General features: G+C 43.7%; 4 annotated features.

Moving 5' to 3' along the window:
- Positions 4190–4709: an enhancer, noted in NCBI's record as "H3K4me1 hESC enhancer chr7:43789665-43790184 (GRCh37/hg19 assembly coordinates)". NCBI's record gives its function as "activates a minimal SCP1, AML or CMV promoter by ChIP-STARR-seq in primed H9 embryonic stem cells {active_cell/tissue: H9 hESC(primed)}" and the evidence as "EXISTENCE:reporter gene assay evidence [ECO:0000049][PMID:30033119]".
- Positions 4710–5229: an enhancer, noted in NCBI's record as "H3K4me1 hESC enhancer chr7:43789145-43789664 (GRCh37/hg19 assembly coordinates)". NCBI's record gives its function as "activates a minimal SCP1, AML or CMV promoter by ChIP-STARR-seq in primed H9 embryonic stem cells {active_cell/tissue: H9 hESC(primed)}" and the evidence as "EXISTENCE:reporter gene assay evidence [ECO:0000049][PMID:30033119]".
- Positions 18667–19146: an enhancer, noted in NCBI's record as "active region_25916". NCBI's record gives its function as "activates an Ori minimal core promoter by ATAC-STARR-seq in GM12878 lymphoblastoid cells {active_cell/tissue: GM12878}" and the evidence as "EXISTENCE:reporter gene assay evidence [ECO:0000049][PMID:35858748]".
- Positions 19652–19731: an enhancer, noted in NCBI's record as "active region_25915". NCBI's record gives its function as "activates an Ori minimal core promoter by ATAC-STARR-seq in GM12878 lymphoblastoid cells {active_cell/tissue: GM12878}" and the evidence as "EXISTENCE:reporter gene assay evidence [ECO:0000049][PMID:35858748]".

Here is a 20776-nt window from a genome sequence, read left to right as displayed (position 1 = left end):
CCCTTGGATCCAGTCCAGTAAGGCTGCCTGGAAGGGCAGGAAGCTGGCGGTGAATGCCAGATATGTAGAGGTGAGGAAGAAGTCACAGTACATGTACCCACAGGGAGAACTGCTGGAGAGAGGTCTGGCATGGTCATCTCCAAAGAGCTGATGAACACTACAGTCCAAAAAATGACATCATGTATTGTCATAGTCCATTCAGGCTACTATAACAAATACCTTGGACTGGGTAATTTATAAACAGCAGAAATTTATGGCTCTTAGTTCTAGGGGCCGGGAAGTCTAAGACCAAGGTGCTAGGAGATTCAGTGTCTGGTGAGGGCTCAGTCTGCTTCAAAGATGGTGCCTTCTCATGCATCCTACATGGTGCAAGGGGCAAGCCAGCTCCCTTCAACTTTTTTTTTTTTTTTTTTTTTCTGAGACGGTGTCTCACCCTGTCACCCAGGCTGGAGTGCAGTGGCTCATCTCAGCTCACTGCAGCCTCTGCCTCCCGTGGAACCTCCTGAGTAGCTAGGATTATAGGTGCGTGCCACCACACCCAGCTAATTTTTAAATTTTTTTGTAGAGACAAGCCCTTGCTATACTCCCTGCGCTAGTCTGAAACTCGTGCACTCAAGAGGTCCTCTGCCTTGACCTCCCAAAGTGCTGAGGTTACAGGGGTGAGCCACCACACCCAACCAAGATGTTGCAGTTTTGAAAGGATCTCAGGCAGAAGCAGGACAGTGCAGTATTCAGCGTGCATTAGCCTATTTATGAAATCCTCTGAGATACCACCAGGGGAGGGGGCCACTGAGTAAGGTTCTGCAAGTACAGGTAGAAATAATTATCCAGAAAAAAAAAAGGAGAATAAATCTAAATGTGAACTTATTTATAAGTACAGGTGAGGGAGGTTTGAAAACATGGTGGCACATGCCTGTAATCCCAGGACTTGGGAGGCTGAGGCAGGAGAATTGCTTGAAACTGGGAGGTGGAGGTTGCAGTGAGCTGAGGTCGCACCATTGCACTCCAGTCTGGGCAAAAAGAGTGAAACTTTGTCTCAAAAAAAAAAAAAAAAAAAAGATTTGGAGGAACTCCTCCTTCCTCAGAAAAGACTGCCCAGGAAAATCTTCCTTGTTTTTGAAAAAGGAAGCAGTGATCTAAAATGCTATTTAAAATGTTTACCAGAAAAATGATTCAACTATCTGTTTCATCATTTACCTCTCCACCCCTATTGGCTTCCTCTGTAATCTGCAGTGGGTTTTTTTAATTGACTCCTTTTGTTGACCAGTATTTTATTTTTCTTCTGCAAAATGTGCTAACTCATGCCAATTACCCACAGCTTTAGGATGGCACACCCACATTTTTTCCCTCCACCTGGGTGATAGACTCACCAAGAGTCAGGGTAGTGAATGGACTACCCTGAGTGGAATTGTGTCCCCCCAAAAAAGATACATTGAAGTCCTAACCTTTAGTTCCTCAGAATGTGACTTTGTGAAGATAGGGTTGTTACAGAGGTAATCAAGTTAAAATGAGGTTATTAGGGGAGTCCTACCTAGTATGACTGGTGTCCTTACGAGAAGAGGAAAGTTGGATGCACAGACACTGTATTAGTCAGGGTTCTCTAGAGGAACTAGACCTAATAGGATATAGGAGTTTATTAAGGAATATTGACTTACATGATTACAAGGTCCCACAATGTAGGCTATCTGCAAGCTGAGGAGCAAGGAAGCCAGTCAGAGTCCCAAAGCTGAAGAACTTGGAGTCCAATGTTCTAGGGCAGGAAGCATCCAGCACAGGAGAAAGATGTAGTCTGGGAGGCTAAGCCAGTCTAGTCTTTCCATGTTCCTCTGCCTGCTTTCATTCTGGCTCCACTGGCAGGTGATTAGATTGTGCCCACCCAGATTGAAGGAGGGTCTCCCTTTCCCAGTCCACTGACTCAAATGTTAATCTCCTTTGGTAACACCCTGACAGACATACCCAGGAACGATACTTTGCATCTTTCAATCTAATCAAGTTGACAATATTAACCATCACAGACACCCACACAGAGAAAATGGCCACATGAAGACAGAGAAATGGACTGATGCATCTGCAAGCCAAGGAGTGCCAAAGACTGTCAGCAAACGACTTAAAGACAAGAAGAAGCAGTGAAAGAGCCTTCCCCTCCAGGTTGCAGATGAAGCGCAACCCTGCTGACACCTTGATTTTCAGACTTCCGGCCTCCAGAGCTGAGACAATACATTTGTGTTGCTCTAAGCCACCTAGTTTATGGAACTTTGTTGGGTGGCCCTACAAACTAATGCAGCCTATGTATGCCAATGCCAGTTATATTTTTTATTGTAATTATATAATTTAAGTAAATATATAAACTCATTAATTAATTTAAAAAGAAGTTATTCCTAAGAAAATTAAGTTGAATGCTTTGGAAAGACTTGATAGAAGAGGATCATTTAAAAAATTGCTGTTGGATTAGAAGTGGGAAAGCAACTGTAAAATGCCGGAAGGAAAAAAATGTAGGGTTCTGCACTCAAAATACTCTGAAAGTATTTTAAAGCTCTCCTTTAAATAAATATTAGAAATCTTTGATGATGCCTAGTGTGGGTCATGCAGAAACGATGATATGAAACTCTAGGCCAGGTGCCATGGCTCATGCCTGTAATCCCAGCACTTTGGGAGGCCGAGGCAGATGGATCGCTTGAGTCCAGGAGTTCAAGACCAGCTTGGGCAACATAGCAAGACCTCATCTCTATAAAAAATACAAAAATTAGCCAGGTGTAGTAGTGCATATCTGTAGTCCCAGCTATTTGGGAGGCTGAGGTGGGAGGATAGCTTGAGCCTGGGAGGTTGAGGCTGTAGTGAGCTGTGATCATGCCACTCCACTCCAGCCTGAGTGACAGAGTGAGAACCTGTCACACACACACAAGCACACACACACACCCATGCCAACTTCTAATCATCAGTTATATATTCAAATAAATGCTTTGAATCTATGGAAAAGATTGACAATCAAATATGTATTTATGTGTTTTAGTTTAAATTATGTGAGGTATGCATGTGTCATTTTTTAAATTTTATTTTAATAGAAAAAATAGAGACAGGGTCTCACTATGTTGCCTAGGTTGGTCTTGAACTCCTGGGCTCAAGCGATCTTCTTGCCTCAGCCTCCTAGGGTGCAGTGATTACAGGCATGAGCCACCATGCTTGGCGTGTGTATAATTTTTTTTTTTTTAAGACAGATTCTCACTCTGTCACCCAGGCTGGAGTGCAATGGCATGATCTCGGCTCACTGCAACCTCCGCCTCCCAGGTTCAAGCAATTCTCTTGCCTCAGCCTCCCGAGTAGCTGGGACTACAGGCACACGCCGCCACACCTGGCTAATTTTTTTTTTTTTTTTGTATTTTAGTAGAGATGGGGTTTCATGTGTTGCCCAGGCCGGTCTCGAACTCCTGAGCTCAGGCAGTCCACCCACCTTGGCCTCCCAAAGTGCTAGGATTACAGGCGTGAGCCACCGTGCCCGGCCTGTGTATGAATTTTTAAGTAATTCTTCATTTTGACTTTTGTGGTTAGCTGATCATCTATGTGCAGACTAAATGGATAAGAGAGCCACTAATGTGTTGTTTTGGGGGTTTCAGAACTAGATATGAGTTTGAAAGTTCGTTCAAGGAGCTGTGCATATTGTGCAAGTTACTAAATTTTTCTAAGTTTCAGTTTCCTGATTTGTATAAAATGAGAATAATACCTACGACCCACAAGTGTTGTGAAATTAAGTGACACAATGAACTTAAACGGTCTAGTAGTATTAGATGTTTTTCCACTTAAAGTGGGAGAAAACTCAATCTAACATGGCTTAAACAAAAAGAGAATAAATTGATTTGTGGCAATAACGAAATTGTAAGGGAGCATTGGCTCCAGACACAACTAGTCTCAGTCCTGCAAGTGATGTCCCAGAACCTGGTTTCTCTGTGTATATCTGTCAGCTACTCCTTGTTGGCTTAATCCTTGGACACAATCTCTCTGGCAAGATGTGCACAGCAGGCATTTCCCCCCGCCTTATCTTCCTAAGTTCAAATTCAGTGGCAAAGAGTGCCTGTTAAAGCCCCTCTTGGAGCCCTGTAAAATGTTTTCTTGCATCCCCTTCTGATATGGTTTGGATCTGTGTTCCCGCCCAAATCTCATGTCGAATTGTAATCCCCAGTATTGGCGGTGGGGCCTGGTAGGAGGCGATTAGATCATGGGGGCAGATTTTCCTCTTGGTGCTGGTAATGAGATTTGGTCGTTTAAAAGTGTGCCTCACCTCCCCCCAACCTCTCTTGCTCCCACTCTGGTCATGTAAGATGAGTCTGTTAACCCTTCTGCCAGGATTGTAAGTTTCATAATGCCTTTCCAGAAGCCAAGTAGATGTCAGCTGCCATCACGCCAGCTGCAGCAGAGGCTGCACACTCCATAGAGCTGGTGGGAGCCCCGCCCCTTCTGAGTCGCAGAGGGAGCTCCCTGGGTCCCGATGCAGCTGCCCAAACTGCAGCTGCAGACCCAGGCCTCCAGCTCTATGGAGCAGGCTGGAGCCATGCCCTCCTGGGTGGGGCTGCAGCCACCCAAACCTCGGCTGTGGATCCAAGCCTCCCTGTGCTCTTGGTGGGGACCGTGAGCAGGTAGGATTTGCCCTCCCGGGTGCAGATGCAGCCTTCCAACCACAGTTGCAGACCTGGGCCTCCCACTCTAGGGAGCAGGCAGGAGCCAGGACAAATGGGACCTCCACCCCTTCCGAGTTGGTGGGGCAAGAGCTCCTGGGGCGCAGCTGTGGCCTCCATCCCAGGCTCAGGACCCGGGCATCTCTGCACCCTACACGCTCAGTGGCCCAGGAAGAGCCCCCCAACTTCCCTGGAGGCTGGGGGTGTCTGCCACTGCTGCCTGGCCTCTCTCCTCTCCGGGGGCCTGCCCTGATCTAGGAGAGGGGTTGGGGCTGAGCCCCAGGGCCATGAATGGCAGCAGGAGGCAGACAGCTTCCTGGGTGGAAGGGGGCAGGTCCCTGTAAGGCCCCTCCTTCAGGCCAGGGAGGGCCTGAAGCCTGGGGGCTAGGCTGCCAGTCTTGCAGAGTGGAGTGGGGACTCGGTGCCTCTTCTGGCACCCATGGCCACCCATGGACCAATTGGCATGCACGTCTTCCCCTCTGAGGTCCATAAAAGCCCTGGGCTCAGCCAGAGGAGGGCAGAGGGTGGGGAGTACAGAGAGAGTTGATGGGACAGGACGATCAGCTGCAGAGAGGAGCTACTCTCTCTGTTGAGAGCTTCAGGGACCTGCAGATATGTCGGGACTACCAGCTGCAGAGAGGAGTGACCCTCTCCAGGGCACCCTCTCTGCTGAGAGCTGGACACTCCATGGGATGACCTCCCTACAGAGAGGAGCTATCCCCTGCTGGTCTCCTCTGAGCTCTTCTAACAGTTGATAAAGCTCATCTTCATCTTGTTTACCCTTCACTTACCTGCATACCTCATTCCTCCCGGATGTAGGACAAGAACTTGGACAAGAACTTGGGCAAAGGTGCCACTGGCCACAGAGGTTTCTGGCCAGGCAGTTGACACCCCAAAGATCCCATAACACCAGCATCATGCTTCCTGTACAGCCTGTGGAACCATGAGCCAATTAAACCTCTGTTCTTTATAAATTATCCAGTCTCAGGTATTTCTTTATAGCAGTGCAAGAGAACAGACTAATACACCTTCATTCTGATTAGGCTACATAACTACCTCTGGGTTAATCAGTGTCCCAGAGGAAAGCATGATTTGATTTGGAGGGAGTAGGTCTGATGCTCCACACAAATCATGTGCACTGGTTGGGGCAAGGGAGTTCTCTCCAGAGAAACTGGAACAGTATTGAGAGCAAGGGAAATGGATTCTGAGTAGCTAAAAACACTAACTGTTCATACACTAGCTCTGAGGGCGATGTCTAGTAAGAAATCAGCATTAGCTGACTCTCTGCAGTGTCTTCCACCCCAAACCCTTAACTCCAGCTTCCCTTTTGGCTTTAGTGAGAGCACTGCCTTTGTTAGGGCAGATGCTCCTGGCATTCCCCCAACTCTGCTATTCCTTTTGGTTTTATTTTATTTTATTTTATTATTTTATTTTATTTGAGACGGAGTCTTGCTCTGTTGCAAAGGCTGGAATGCAGTGGCACGATCTCGGCTCACTGCAACCTCTGCCTCCCAGGTTCAAGCAATTCTCCTGCCTCAGCCTCCCGAGTAGCTGGGGTTACAGGCACCCGCCATCACACCAGGCTAATTTTTGTATTTTTAGTAGAGATGTGGTTTCACCATGTTGGCCAGGCTGGTTTCAAACTCCTGACCTCAGGTGATCTGCCCGCCTTGGCCTCCCAAAGTGCTAGGATTACAGGCATGAGCCACTGCACCCGGCCCCCTTTGGCTTTAAATACTCAGCTGTGAACCCAGCTCATCTGCCAGGCCAGAATGTGGCGAATCTCCCCGCATCCAGTCCTGCTCTTCCAACTGCCTGGCAATGTCCTTGGCTATTAGGGCCATTATCAGCCCATCCCTCCCACCCACCACTCCAGTTCAGTCCAATGCCTCCTTCAAGTTTCAAAGTTGCCTCTCAGTTTCAGGACATCAAGATGTGGTAAAGTATCAACTACTTCATGAATCTATACATTTAATGCTTATCCTTGATTTTTTTGTCTTTTCGAACTTAAATTTTAATTTTTGTCTAAACTACATATGGAAACTTAGCCATCTCCTATTATTTGGATTGGAAAACTCGACTTTGTCCACTTCTTTAAGTGTTTGTAGTGTAGTAGTTGTCCACCCAGTGAAGTTGGCTGTTTAATACAATACTGCCGTAAAAACAAGGAATCAACCTCAATATCTATTCTCCTGCTTTCGGTTCCCCAAATGTTGGCTGGACACATGCTGCCCAGAATAGACCATGTTACATAGCCTCCTTTGCAGCAAAATATGGTTATGAGATTAAGTTCTAATTGGAAGTATGCAAATTGATGTGACTTGTACAATTTCTAAGGCATTCCCTTAAAAGACAAGAGTGTTCCCTCAACTGCTCACGTTTCCATCCATTTTGGCTGGAATGTAGATCCAGTGGACATGGTGGCATGCTCTTTTGCCTTTGTGGAAGAGGGTGACACCCTAGAACAGGGAATGGCACATTTCTTCTGTAAAGGGCCAGATGGTAAATATTTTCAGCTTTATGGGACACCTAGGCTCTGTCACAGCTGCTAACTCTGCTGTTGTAGGGGAAAGCAACCACAGACAATATGTAAACAATGGGCATGGCTGTGTTCTAGGAAAACTTTATTTACCGAAACAGGGAGTGGCTGAATTTTCTCTGCAGGCTACAGTTGACTGACCCCAAATCTAGAACACAATAAGGCAACAATATAAAAAAAAAGTGGGGCCAGGTGCAGCGGCTCACGCCTGTAATCCCAGCGATTTGGGAGGCTGAGGTGGGCCGATCACTTGAGACCAGGAGTTGGAGACCAGCCTGGGCAACGTAGCGAAACCCTGTCTCTACAAAAAAAAATATAAACATTAGCCGGGTGTGGTGGTGCATGCCTCTAGTCCCATCCACTCGGGAGACTGAGGCCAGAGGATCACTTGGGCCTGGGAGGTTGAGGTTGTAGTGAGCTGAGATCGTTCCACTGCACTCCAGCCTGGGCAACAGAGTGAGATCCTGTCTCAAAAAAGAAAAAAAGATAATAAAAAGCTTCTGTCCCCAACACTATCAAGGTATGAGGGGTAGGGGAGAGTTAACTGGTCTTCTATAGAGAGATCTCTTTTGTTTAAGCCACTGTATTTTGGGGAATCATTGTTTCAGCAGCTGTATCTTAATAATGTTTTTTTTTTTTTTTGATACCATCAAGCCAGAATCTTCTTTTTTTTTTTTCTTGAGACAGAGTCTCACTCTGTTGCCCAGGCTGGAGTGCAGTGGCGCAATCTCGGCTCACCACAACCTCCACCTCCCGGTTCAAGTGATTCTCCTGCCTCAACCTCCCGAGTAGCTGGGATTACAGGTGCCCACCAACACGTCTGGCTAATTTTTGTATTTTTAGTAGAGACAAGGTTTCACCATGTTGGCCAGGCTGGTCTCAAACTCCTGACCTCAGGTGATCCACCTGCCTTGGCCTCCCAAAGTGCTGGGATTACAGGCATGAGCCACAACACCCAGACTCTTCTTAACTTTTTGGACCACAAAGCTCAGTCCTTCTCGCTCATTCTCTCTGACTCTGTCCTCACAGGACCCTGTGAGGTTATAAACTGGCTTGACTCCTAGAAATTCTCATGGAATCTACATAGCTCTCAGGCCACTCTCCATGTTTTTTTTCTTTTACCAACAGACTTTCCTGTGTTTCTCAGTGTATTGAAGTCTGGCTTCTACCTCTGTCCTCCACCATAACTGAAGATCCCTACTGCCAGTGTGGGCTTCCCAGGTGTCACCCTACTTAGCCTCTCCATTGCATCTGCCATGGTGACCCCCTTCTGCAGCCCCTTCTCCCCATGGCCCCCTTCCTTCCTGCTTTCATGAAGCTCTCCCCCGTTGCGTTATGCAGCACTAACCTATCCTTCCATGTTTCTTCCTCATACATCTCTGCCTAATTCAGCTTAGCCACTTTCACTAGTTATTCTTCCTCTGCCTGGCCCTCCGTGTTGACAATATGGCCAGTTGCACCCTTGGTTCTCATTCAGTCCCCTCCTGGATTCCCACAAATTCCTCAGGCTTTCATGATGCATCATATTCTAATGACTTCTGAATATGTACCTTCAGGCTAGATTGCTCTCTGAAGCTCAAACTTGTATGCCCAACTGCCTATTTTGTTCCAGGTGATCTTCTAAATCTGTCATTCTTGGGCTTGGCACAGTGGCTCACACCTGTAGTCCCAGCATGTTGGGAGGCCAAGGTGGGCTGATCACTTGGGGTCAGGAGTTGGAGACCAGCCTGGCCAACATGGTGAAACCCTATCTCTACTAAAAATACAAAATGAGCCAGGTGTGGTGGCGCATGCCTGTAATCCCAGCTAGTCAGGAGGCTGAAGCAGGAGAATCACTTGAACCCTGGCAATGGAGGTTGGAGTGAGCCAAGATGGCGCCGCTGTACTCCAGCCTGGGCAACAGAGTGAGACTGCTTCAAAAAAATAGAATAAAATAAAATAAATCTGTCATTCTCCTTTTGTTTATTAGTTGGAATTCTTCTATTCAGAAGAATTTTCCCTCATCAGCTATTTGGTTACCCTGAAATATAATATATATAGAAAATGCAGATGAATGCTTACTTGTTTTTCCTTACTTACCTATATTCAGAACACTGTTGGTGTTCTAACAACCACCAAAAAGAATCAGGAAAGTAGTTTCTGTAGTTAACACTATGAACTTATAGGTTTTCATATAGATTTAATGAATTTTGATTCAAGATAGTCATTATTTATTTTGATGCTCAAATTTGCCGCATATTTGGCTGGGTCCAGTTGATGTCTGCATTCTTTTAACGTGATTCCAGTAGACTTTGATAGCTTTCCTCCTTTCAGATATAACAAGATATTTCAGGTTCATTTTTCATATTTCCCGTTCCATATCTGGAGATGATAATTTCTTCAAAGAGCCCTGGTTTCTCTTGGAGAGGAATGGTATTAAAGACCACAATCCGGACCGGGCGCGGTGGCTCATGCCTGTAATCCCAGCACTTTGCGAGGCCGAGGCGGGCGGATCACGAGGTCAGGAGATCGAGACCATCCTGCCTAACACAGTGAAACCCCGTCTCTATTAAAAATACAAAAAATTAGCCGGGTGTGGTGGTGGGCGCCTGTAGTCCCAGCTACTCAGGAGGCTGAGGCAGGAGAATCGCGTGAACCCGGGAGGCGGAGCTTGCAGTGAGCCGAGATCGTGCCACTGCACTCCAGCCTGGGCGACAGAATGAGACTCCGTCTCAAAAAAAAAAAAAAAAAAAAAAGACCACAATCCGACCACTAGGGATATTCGTTGCTAATGGGTTATCATTATTTGTAGGACTTTTTAGTAAATACGGCTAGGATATTATTTGTTTATTTGTTTGTTTGTTTGAGACAGGGTCTTATTCTGTTGTCCAAGCTAGAGTGCAATGCTGTGGCCATAGCTCGCTATAACCTCCAACTGCTGGGCTCAAGCAATCCTCCCACCTCTACCTCCCAAAGTGCTGGGATTACAGGCATGAGCCATCATGCCTGGCCTGGAAATATTTATTTCTTTGGGAGAGAAAAATAAGTTAATTCTATACTTATTACCAATACTTTTAATTCAAAATAAAGACTACTAGGTTTTTATTCTTTGATTTTGTATTTGCATCCCATTTTCTTGTTGTGAAAATGTTGGTTCCCAGCAACACTTATATAATTATTTATTGTCTTTTATCCTAATACACACATATACATTAAATATATAAACTATTATAACATCAAAATGATAATATTACTCCAAATAGAAATGTACTGAATTCAATTTATAATTTCTTTGCAGATATTTTTGTCATGAGATGTATAGTTAAAATACAGTGCTTTAAAGTCATGATAATCATGGCTGGGCGTAGTAGCTCATGCCACCTGTAATCCCAGCACTTTGGGAGGCCAAGGCAGGTGTATCACTTGAGGTCAGGAGTTTGAGACCAGCCTGGTCAACATGGAGAAACACTGTCTCTACTAAAAATAAAAAATTAGCTGGGCGTGGTGGCACTTGGCCTGTAATCCCAGCTACTTGGGAGGCTGAGGCACGAGAATTGCTTGAACCCGGGAGGTGGAGGTTGCAGTGAGCCAAGACTGAGCCACTCCATTCCCAGCCTGGGCGACAGAGTGAGACTGTGTCTCAAAAGAAAAAAAAAAAAAAAGGCGGGCATGGTGGCTCACACCTGTAATCCTAGCACTTTGGGAGGCCAAGGTGGGTAGATTGCCTGAGCTCAGGAGTTTGAGACCACCCTGGGCAACATGGTGAAACCCCGTCTCTACTAAAATTAAAAAAAAAAAATTAGCCAGGCATGGTGGTGGGCGCCTGTAGTCTCAGCTACTCGGGAGGCTGAGGCAGGAGAATTGCTTGAACATGGGAGGCGGAAGTTGCAGCGAGCCGAGCTTGAAACATTGCACTCTAGCCTAGGTGACAGAGTGAGACTGTCTCAAAAAAAAAAAAAAAAGAAAAGGAAAAAAAACCCATAAATACATGATAATCTTTCTCCAAGTGTTTATACCACTACCTTTTCTTTTTTGCTTTTTTTTTTTGAGACAGAGTCTCACTCTGTAACACAGGCAGGAGTGCAGTGGCATGATCTCGGCTCACTGCAACCTCCGCCTCCCAGATTCCAGTAATCCTCCTGCCTCAGCCTTCTGAGTAGCTGGGAATGCAGGTGCGCACCACCACACTGGGCTAATTTTTGTATTTTTAGTAGTGACGGGGTTTCACCATGTTTCCCAGGCTTGTCTCGAACTCCTGAACTCAAGCAATCCGCTTACCTTGGCTTCCCAGGTGCTGGGATTACAGGTGTTAGCCAGTGCACCTGGTCCTAACTTTATGTAGAATTAGTCTCATTTGTTTCATTTTTCCTTTGTTTTTAGAGTTTGATGTTTAAATGTATTTTTAATTTAAATTTTTGTTTTAAATTATGTATAACATATATTTGGTTCCAAAATAAAAGCCATAAAACTTGGTATTTTCAGAGGATTACTTTCCATCTCTGTTTCCTTTTCTCTGTTCTTCCCCTATTTCCTATAAAATGGGAATTTAGGTTATTTCCAATGCTATGCATTAAAAACAATGCTCATGGATGTATATTTTCATATTTCATAATATACAGCTTAAAGTTGCATATTCACAGTAGATTCCCAGAAGTAGGATGGCTGTGCCAAAAAGTACCTATTAGCTTTGTTAGACATGGCCAAAATTCCCTTTCAGAAGAGTTGCACAAATTTGAAAATCCACCAGCAATGAGGTTTATTTCCCTACAGCCTCACCAACAGGATGTATTGTCATACTTTAACATTTTTGCCTAAGTGTAAAGTATTATGTCAGTTGTATTTTTCTATAGTGAATGAGTTTACACTTTTTTTCATATTTTTCATGGCCTTTATATTGTGAATTGTCAGTTCATGTCTTTTTCCAAGTTTGTATTGGATTTTTGGCTCTTTGTCCCTCAACTGACAAGATTTCTTTATAAATTAGGGATATTAGTCATTTTTACATGATATATTTATTTTTATTTTTGGAGACAGGGTCTTACTTTGTCACCCAGACTGGAGTGCAGTGATGTGATCATAGCTTACTGCAGCCTTGAATTCCTGGGCTCAAGTGATCCTCCTGCCTTGGCCTCCTTGGGACTACAGGTGCATGTCACCATGCCTGGCTAATTTTTAATTCTTTTTTTTTATAGAGAAGGGGTCACACTATGTTGCCTAGGCTGATCTTGGATTCCTGGCCTTAAATGATCCTCCCCCTTGAACCTCCCAAAGTGCCCTACAATACGTCATGTGGCTGCACCTACATCATATATTGCACCCAGCCACATAATATATTGTGCACCCAGCCAGAAGATATATTGCAAATTGAATATTTTCTTACATTTAATAGTTGTCTTTAGATTTTGTTTATGGTGCTTTTGTCATGCAAAATTTTAAAATTTAATTTTCTGTCAAATTTATCTTTTTTGTTGTTGTTGTTTGTTTTTGAGATGGAGTCTTGCTCTGTTGCCTAGGCTGGAGTGCAGTGGCATGGTCTCAGCTCACTACAACCTCTGCTTCCCAGGTTCAAGCGATTCTCCTGCCTCAGCCTCCCGAGAAGCTGGGATTACAGGTGCCTGGCACCATGCCTGGCTAATTTTTTGTATTTTTAGTAGAGATGGGGTTTGACCATGTTGGCCAGGCTGGTCTCCAACTCCTGACCTCATGATCTGCCCACCTTAGCCTCCCAAAGTGCTGGGATTACAGGCATGAGCCACTGCACCTGGCCAAATTTATCCATCTTTTAATGCCTCTAGATTTGAAGTCATAGTTTTAAAAACCTTTTCCTACCCCAAAGTGTAATAGGAATTCACCTATGGTCTTTTTTTCCCCTCTTACTTGTATAGTTTTATTTTTTACATATAGATTCTTAATCCATTTGGAGTTTCTTCTCGTTTATTGTGTGAAGTATGAATATGATTTTATCATTTTTCCAAGTGACTACCTAGTTTTCTCAGAACCATTTATTAAAATGTCTACCTCAGTGATTTGAGAGATGGCTTCTATCTAAATTTCCATATGTACAGTACTTGGGTCTATTTCTAGGCTTTCCATAATATTCCACTTATCTACTTATCTATTCATGTGCCTGTATCACTGTTTTAATTATGGCAGCTTTATAGTATGTTTTAATATCTAATAAGGCTACCCTCACAATTTTTCTTTTTCATTGTTTTCCTGGCAACTCTGGAATCTCTGCTTTTCCATATAAACTTAAGTATTGACTTGTCTAATGCTCTAAAATAGCTTGTTGGTAATTTCTTTGAGATTGCGTTGAATTTATAAATTAACTTAGGGAATTTATAAATTAACTCATTATAAATCTTTATAATGAGGTTTTTTTTTTTAATGGTGGTGTTCTAGTCTGTATTTGTATCTTTCAAGGGTGTTTTAAAATCTTTCTCATGTAGGTTTTGCATATTTCTTGATAAATTCAATCCAAGTATTTAATATTTTTTGTTGCTATCATAAATAGGGTTTTCTCTACCTTTTAGTCCTCTGTTTAATGTCTGTGTCTATGAAGGCATATATGATATGATCATCATATATTAACTTTATGGCCTGCATTTTTAATAAGTCATGTCACTACTTGAGTTATTTTTATCATTGTTTCTCTGAGGGTTTTCAGGTTTTACTATCATATCATCTACAAACAAAAATAGTTACGATTGAGCACAGTGGCTCACATCTGTAATCCCAGCACTTTGGGAGGCCGAGACTGGCAGATCACTTGGGGCCAGGAGTTCAAGACCAGCCTGGCCAACACGGTGAAACCCCATCTCTACCGAAAAATACAAAAATTAGTCAGGCGTGGTGGCATGTGCCTATAGTTCCAGCTACTTGGGAGGCTGAGGCACGAGAATCGCTTGAACCTGGGAGGCGACGGTTGCAGTGAGCCGAGATTGTGCCATTGTACTCCAGCCTGGGTGACAGAGTGAGAGCCTGCCTAAAAAAAAAAAAAAAAAAAGAAAAAGAAAAAAGAAAAAGAAAAAGAAAAAGAAATAGGGTTACTTATACATTATTCATTCTTCTGACTGATTGGATTTCTCTCTGTGGTGAAAAGTTACTTTGTTTCTGATCCTAATGGAAATACTTCTAGTGTTTCCCATTAAGTAAGATATTGACTTTAAAACTAAAATGTGTGTGTATATGTACGTATGTGTGTAAACATTGTCATATTAGGAAAGTCTCCTTCAATTCCTTTTTTCTTAAGAGGTTTTTTTTTTTTAAAAATAATGAAAAGGTATGAAAATTTATCAAAGGCTTTTTCATCATTTATGGAAAGAACCATGTGAATTTTTCTTGATATTGGACCAATGTTGCATCCTGGAATAAATCCACTAATTCATGGTGTGCATTGTTTTCTTAATGTGTTGTTAGATTCCATTTGCTAATATTTATGTTTCTGCATCAATATTCATGATATTGACCTGTAGTTTTCTTTCTTAGCACTGACTTTATCTGGTTTGGTATCAGTGTTATACTTGCTTTATAAAAGGAGTTAAGAAGATTTTCTTCCTTTTCAATGTTCTAGAATAATGTAGAAAACATTGGGACTATTTGGTCTTCGAAAGTTCAGCAGAATTTTTCTATGAAACTATTTAGGCCTGGTGCTTTTGGGGAGTAGTTTCTTAATAACATTCTCTACTTCTTTTATGGAAATGTTTTCTTATAACAAAGAATGTGATCAATTTTGGTAATCTTTTGTGCTTCAAAGAACACCATCAAGAAAGTGAAAAGACAACTCATAGAATAAGTTAATTTTTTTTGCAAATTATGTATCTGATAAGGGACTTGTATCTAGAATATATAAAGAAGTATTGCAACTCATTTTTAAAAAAAGACCAAGAGACCAATTTAAAAAGGGGTAAAGGATCTACACAGGCATTTCTCCAAAGGAGATATATATATAAGCACTTGAAAAGATGCTCAACACCAGTACTCATCAAGGAAATGCAAATATAAAACACAATGAAATACCACTTTGCTTCCAGTAGAATGGTGATATAGTTTGTATATCATCTCATGTTGAATTGTAATCCTCAGTATTGGATGTGAGGTCTGGTGGGAGGTGATTGGATCATGGGGGTGGATTCCTCATGAATGGTTTAGCACCATTCTCTTGGTGCTGTCCTCGTGATAGTTCTCAAGAGATCTGGTAGTTTAAAAGTGTGTAGCACCTCCCTCCAACTGTCTCTCTTACTCCTGCTCCTGCCATGTAAGACTCTAGCTTCCTCCTTTGCCTTCTGCCATGATTGAAAGCTCCCTGAAGCCTCCCCAGAAGCAGGTGCACTATGCTTCCTGTATAGCTTGCAGAACTGTGAGCCATTTTCTTATAAATTACCCAGTCTTGTGCGGTGGCTCACACCTGTAATCTCAGCACTTTGGGAGGCCGAGGCGCGTGGATCACCTGAGGTCAGGAGTTCGAGACCAGCCTGGACAACATGGGAAAATGCTGTCTGTACTAAAAATACAAAAATTAGCCTGTCGTGGTCGTGGGCACCTGTAATCCCAGCTACTCGGGAGGCTGAGGCAGGAGAATAGCTTGAACTCGGAAGGTGCAGATTCCAGTGAGCCAAGATCTTGCCACTGCACTCCAGCCTGGGTGACAAAGTGAGACCCTGTCTCAAAAAAAAAAAAAAAAAAAAAAACCAAAGAAAAAGAAAAAAAGTAGGTAAAATCACTCACATCTGCTCATCATAGTTGTTTTGTAAAGCATTGGAAAAAATCATCTTTCAGAGTAAGAGGAAGAACTGGAGAACAGAAATTTAGTGACAGTAGGTTTGCAATAACCTTGGTAAAAGTGTCTTGGATAATCTGACTACTAAATGAAGGAATTTATTAGAAGCTTTAAAAATCCAAGATGAAGATGCTACTAAGTTTCTCACAAAGTAACATTGGCTGTAATGAAAGCTATATCGTAACTGAAAAGACGGCATACTTGCCATAAAGTTACAGAGATGAACAGATTAGTGGTTGCTAAGGCTTACAGAGAGGGTCTGGCAGGAAAGACAGGAATTGACTGTGGCTATGAAAGGGAAGTAGCAGGGATCCTTGTGATGAAATTGTTTGGAATCTTAACTGGGGTGATGGTTAGATGAATAGAAATGTGATAAAATTGCATAGAACTACACACACACACACACACACACACACACACACACACACACACACAGATGTGCATATAAAACTGGTGAAATCTGAATAAATTCTGTGGATTGTACCAATGTCAACTTCCTGGTGTTACAGGATCTCTGGGGTGTCAACTTTTCTGGTCAGAAACCTCTGTGGCCGAGGCGCCTTTGCCTGAGTTCTTGTCCTGTGTCCAGGAAGAATGAGGTATGCAGGCAAGTGAAGGGTGAAGAAGAAGAGTTTTATTTAGTGTTAGAATAGTTCAGAGGAGTGGGTAGCTCCTCTCTGTAGGCAGGTCTTCTCATTGAGTGTTCGGCTCTCAGCAGAGAGAAGGCCCTGGAGATGGTGGCTTCCCTCCGTAGGCAAGTCATTTGAATGTCTCTGCAGGTCTCTGAAGCTCTTCCAGAGAGGGTGGCTCCTCTCTGCCAGCAGATCATCTCTGCAGCTCTCAGTGGAGAGGGTACTCCTCTCTGCAGCTGGTCCTCCCACCCTCTCTCTGTCCTCTTCCTCCTCTGGCCATCCTCTACCCTGCTCTGGCTGAGCCCAGGGCTTTATGGACCTCAGAGGGGAGGAAGGGCCGGCTGATTGGTCCATGGGCAGCCATGGGCACCCGGAAGAGGCACCATGAGTCCCCACTCCAGTGGTGGGACTGGCAGCCTGGCCCCCAGTCTTTAGGCCCTCCCTGGCCTGAAGGTGGGGCCTTACTGGGGACCTGTCCTTTTCTGCCCAAGAATCAATCTGCCTCCTGCTGCCATTCATGGCCCTAGGGCTCGGCCTCAATCCCTAGTCAGAGATCAGAGCAGGTGCTAGGAGTGGAGAGAGGCCAGGCAGCAGGATAAGACACCCCCAAGGCTGCAGGAATGTTGGGGGTTGGGGGAGGAAAGGGGGCAGCCACAGCTGCACCTGGGAGTTCCCACCCTGCCATCTTGGACGGAGCAGGGCTCCTGCATATCCTCAGCTCCTGCCTGCTTCCTGGAGCCAGGAGGCCCACGTCTGCAGCCGTGGGCATGGGCAGCTGCAGCTGCACCTGGGAGGGCAGATCCTTCCTGTTCCTGGCTCCCCCAAGAGCACAGGGAAGCTCGGATCCACAGCTGCAGTTTGGGTGGCTGTAGCTCTGCCCAGGAGGGCAGGTTTCCTGCCTGCTCCATAGAGGAGGAGACCTGGGTCTGCAGCTGAGGTTTCAGAGCTGTCCCAACTCAGAAGGGGCAGGGGTCCCACTGGCTCCATGGCATGTGCAGTCCCAGCCATACTTCCCGGCTGCAGTCGCCATGATGGCAGCAGTCACTGCCATCACTGGTTTCAACACTGTTGTATAGCTATGTTACCACTGCAGAATACTGGGTGAAGGGTACACAGGACTGCTCTTTACATTTTTTCTCCTAAATTTCCTGTGAATCTATAATTATTTCAAAATAAATTTTTTTAAAAAAACAAGATTCTTGGAAATCCACATAAAGTTTCAATAATTTTAGAAATTAGCTCCTCCTTTTTGTAACTCTGTGCTTTGTCTCAATATTTCCTTGGCTGGAAATGCTCTTCTTTTCCATTGCCTAAATCCTATTTTTTTAGGACATCTTCCAGGATGCTTTCCCTAATTAATTTTTTTCTTGTTCTTTTGTTGAGCTACTGATACATCTTAGATCTAATCAGACTCTCTCCAAATATTTCCCTCCCTTCCTCTCATAGGTGGATGGTGGTTGCTGCGGTGCACAGCCTAGGAATGAAATGCTCATTACCCCACTGGCTTAGGCGCTTCCTTCAGGAACTGCCTCGGTGAAAAAGAACTGTTTCATTCTTGGTCGTGGTTCCCTCCTGGAGTGGCTGATATACAATGTGGGGGTGTTAAAGTTTAACCTTTTGCTTCATTTCAGGACATCTGTGAAGGTCATACCATCTTCAGAACTTTTAATGTTTGCAGGACCTGTAATAACTCCTCCTCTTTCATATCTGATATTGTTAATTTGCCCTCCCTCCCTCCCTCCTTCCTTCCTTCCTTATCTCACGCTGTTGCTCTAGCTGGAATGCAATGATGCAATCATAGCTCACTATAACCTCAAAGTCCTGGGCTCAAGCAATCCTCTCACCTCAGCCTCACATCTGTAGCTGGGACTATGGGCATGTGCCACCATGCTTGGCTATAAAAAAAATTTTTTTTTTTTAGAGATGAGGTCCTGCTATCTTGCCTAGGCTGATCTTGAACTCCTGGCTCCAAGCAATCCTCCTGCCTTGGCCTACCAAAGTGCTAGGTTTATAGGAGTGAGTCACTGTGCCTGGCCGGCCTTCAGTTTTTGAGTCTTAGATGGCTCAAAAGGTTTGACACATGTATGTTTCAGATGTCAGCCAGAAATGTGGGCAGCTCATACATACAAATAGTTTGGTTTGCCTTCTCTCTGACTTCTTTCCTTTATGGGGGATTTCCTTTCTTGGATTTCCCCCCACTTTCCAGATGCACTATGTATCAAAAACTCTGGTTTTTGAAGCCAGTAAGATTGAGAGTAACAACTGGGGCCTGTCCTCAAGCAGAAAGCCCATGACAATGGGAAACCCCCTGGGTCCCATTCCTTTCTTCCCAGCATCAACTTCCCTCTGGTATCTACCTTCTTAGGGTGTTCTCCAGTACCTTTAGGTAGTTATTTTTTGTACTTGGTCCAGAGCTTTTAGTTTTTATCTATGGGAAGATTGGTCCAATAGGAGGTACTCAGCTCTAACTAGAAACAGAACTCCTTATTTTTCTTCTAATGTCTCTACTGATCTCTACTGATTTCTCTTCTTTCATTCCTGATATTGGTAATTTGTGTTCTCTCTCTCTTTCTTTTGACTGATCAGTTTAGCTACAGGTTTACCAATTTTATTGGTCTTGTGGGCGGAGGATCACCTAGGTGACAAGGCAAGAGACTAAAGGCACAAACTGTTTCAGTATAATAAAGAAAACAGTTAGAATAAGAATAGTCATAATACAAATTAGATATAGAGATGATCATGGACAATTATCAATCATTATTATAAACATTATTAATCATTAGCTTTTAATATTATTCTTTGTTGCATTACTAATATAACCTAGGAATAACCAGCGGGTATACGCTCAGGTGCTGAAGGGACATTGTGAGAAGTGACCTAGAAGGCAAGAGGTGAGCCCTCTGTCACGCCTGCATAATGGCCGCTTGAGGGTTCCTTGGTCAAGCGGTAATGCCAGTGTCTGGGAAGGCACCTGTTACTTAGCAGACTGTGAAAGGGAGTCTCCTTTCCTTGGAGGAGTCAGGGAACACTCTGCTCCACCAGCTTCTTGTGGAAGGCTGGATATTATCCAGGCCTGCCCGCAGTCATCCGGAGGCCTAAACCCCTCCCTGTGGTGCTGTGTTTCAACGGTCATGCTCCTTGTCTACTTTGATGTTCCTCCCATACTCCTGGTTCCTCTTTGAAGTTCGTAGTAGATAGCAGTAGAAGAAATAGTGAAAGTCTTAAAGTCTTTGATCTTTCTTATAAGTGCATAGAAGAAAACGCTGACGTATGCTGCCTTCTCTCTCTCTCTGCTTTGGCTACCTAAGAGGGAAGGGCCCCCTGTCCTATGATCATGTGACTTGCTTCACGTTGTCAACCACTTAGAAGATTCACCCTCCTTACCCTGCCCCCTTGTCTTGTATGCAATAAATATCAGCGAGCCCAGCCGTTCAGGGCCACTACCGGTCTCCGCATCTTGATGGTAGTGGTCCCCCGGGCCCAGCTGCTTTCTCTTTATCTCTTTGTCTTGTGTCTTTATTTATTACAATCTCTTGTCTCCGCACATGGGGAGAACACCCGCTAAGCCCCGTAGGGCTAGACCCTACAGGTCTTTTAAAAAAACCAGCTTTTTTAGCTGGGTGCAGTGTTGAGTGCCTGTAATCCCCAGCTACTCCAAAGACTGAGGTGGGAGGATTGCTTGAGCCCAGAAGTTTGTGACCAGCCTAGGAAACATAGCAAGACTTCATCTCAAAAATAAATAAACTGAAAAAAGAACTAGCTCTTTTACTTAATTGATTTCCAAAATTATCTTTATTATTTCATTTTCTATTATTTTTAATTTTCCCCCCAATTTCTTAAAGTGGAAGCTAAAATAATTTAACTTATACTTTTTCTTTTCTTATATTTTTATTCCTTATATTAAGAATGCAATGCTATAATTTTCCTCTCTAAAGCACTACTTTAACTGCATTCAATGCCTTTTGATATATATTTTTATTTTTATTCACTTCAAAATACGCCTGTTTCCTTTACCATTACTTCTTTGACCCATGAGTCAAAATGTATACTTAATTTCAAAAGAAGTGTGTTACTTAATTTCAAAATATTTGTGTTTTCCAGATATCTGTTACTAATTTATAATTATGGTAAGACAAAAAACTTTATACAATTTCAATGTATTTAAGTTTATCAATGTTTA

The sequence above is a fragment of the Homo sapiens genome, chromosome 7 (genome assembly GCF_000001405.40).
Source record: "Homo sapiens chromosome 7, GRCh38.p14 Primary Assembly".
In the NCBI taxonomy this organism is placed as follows: domain Eukaryota; kingdom Metazoa; phylum Chordata; class Mammalia; order Primates; family Hominidae; genus Homo; species Homo sapiens.
The sequence above is the reverse complement of the archived record's forward strand: the minus strand, read 5'-3'. Positions and strand labels throughout refer to the sequence as shown.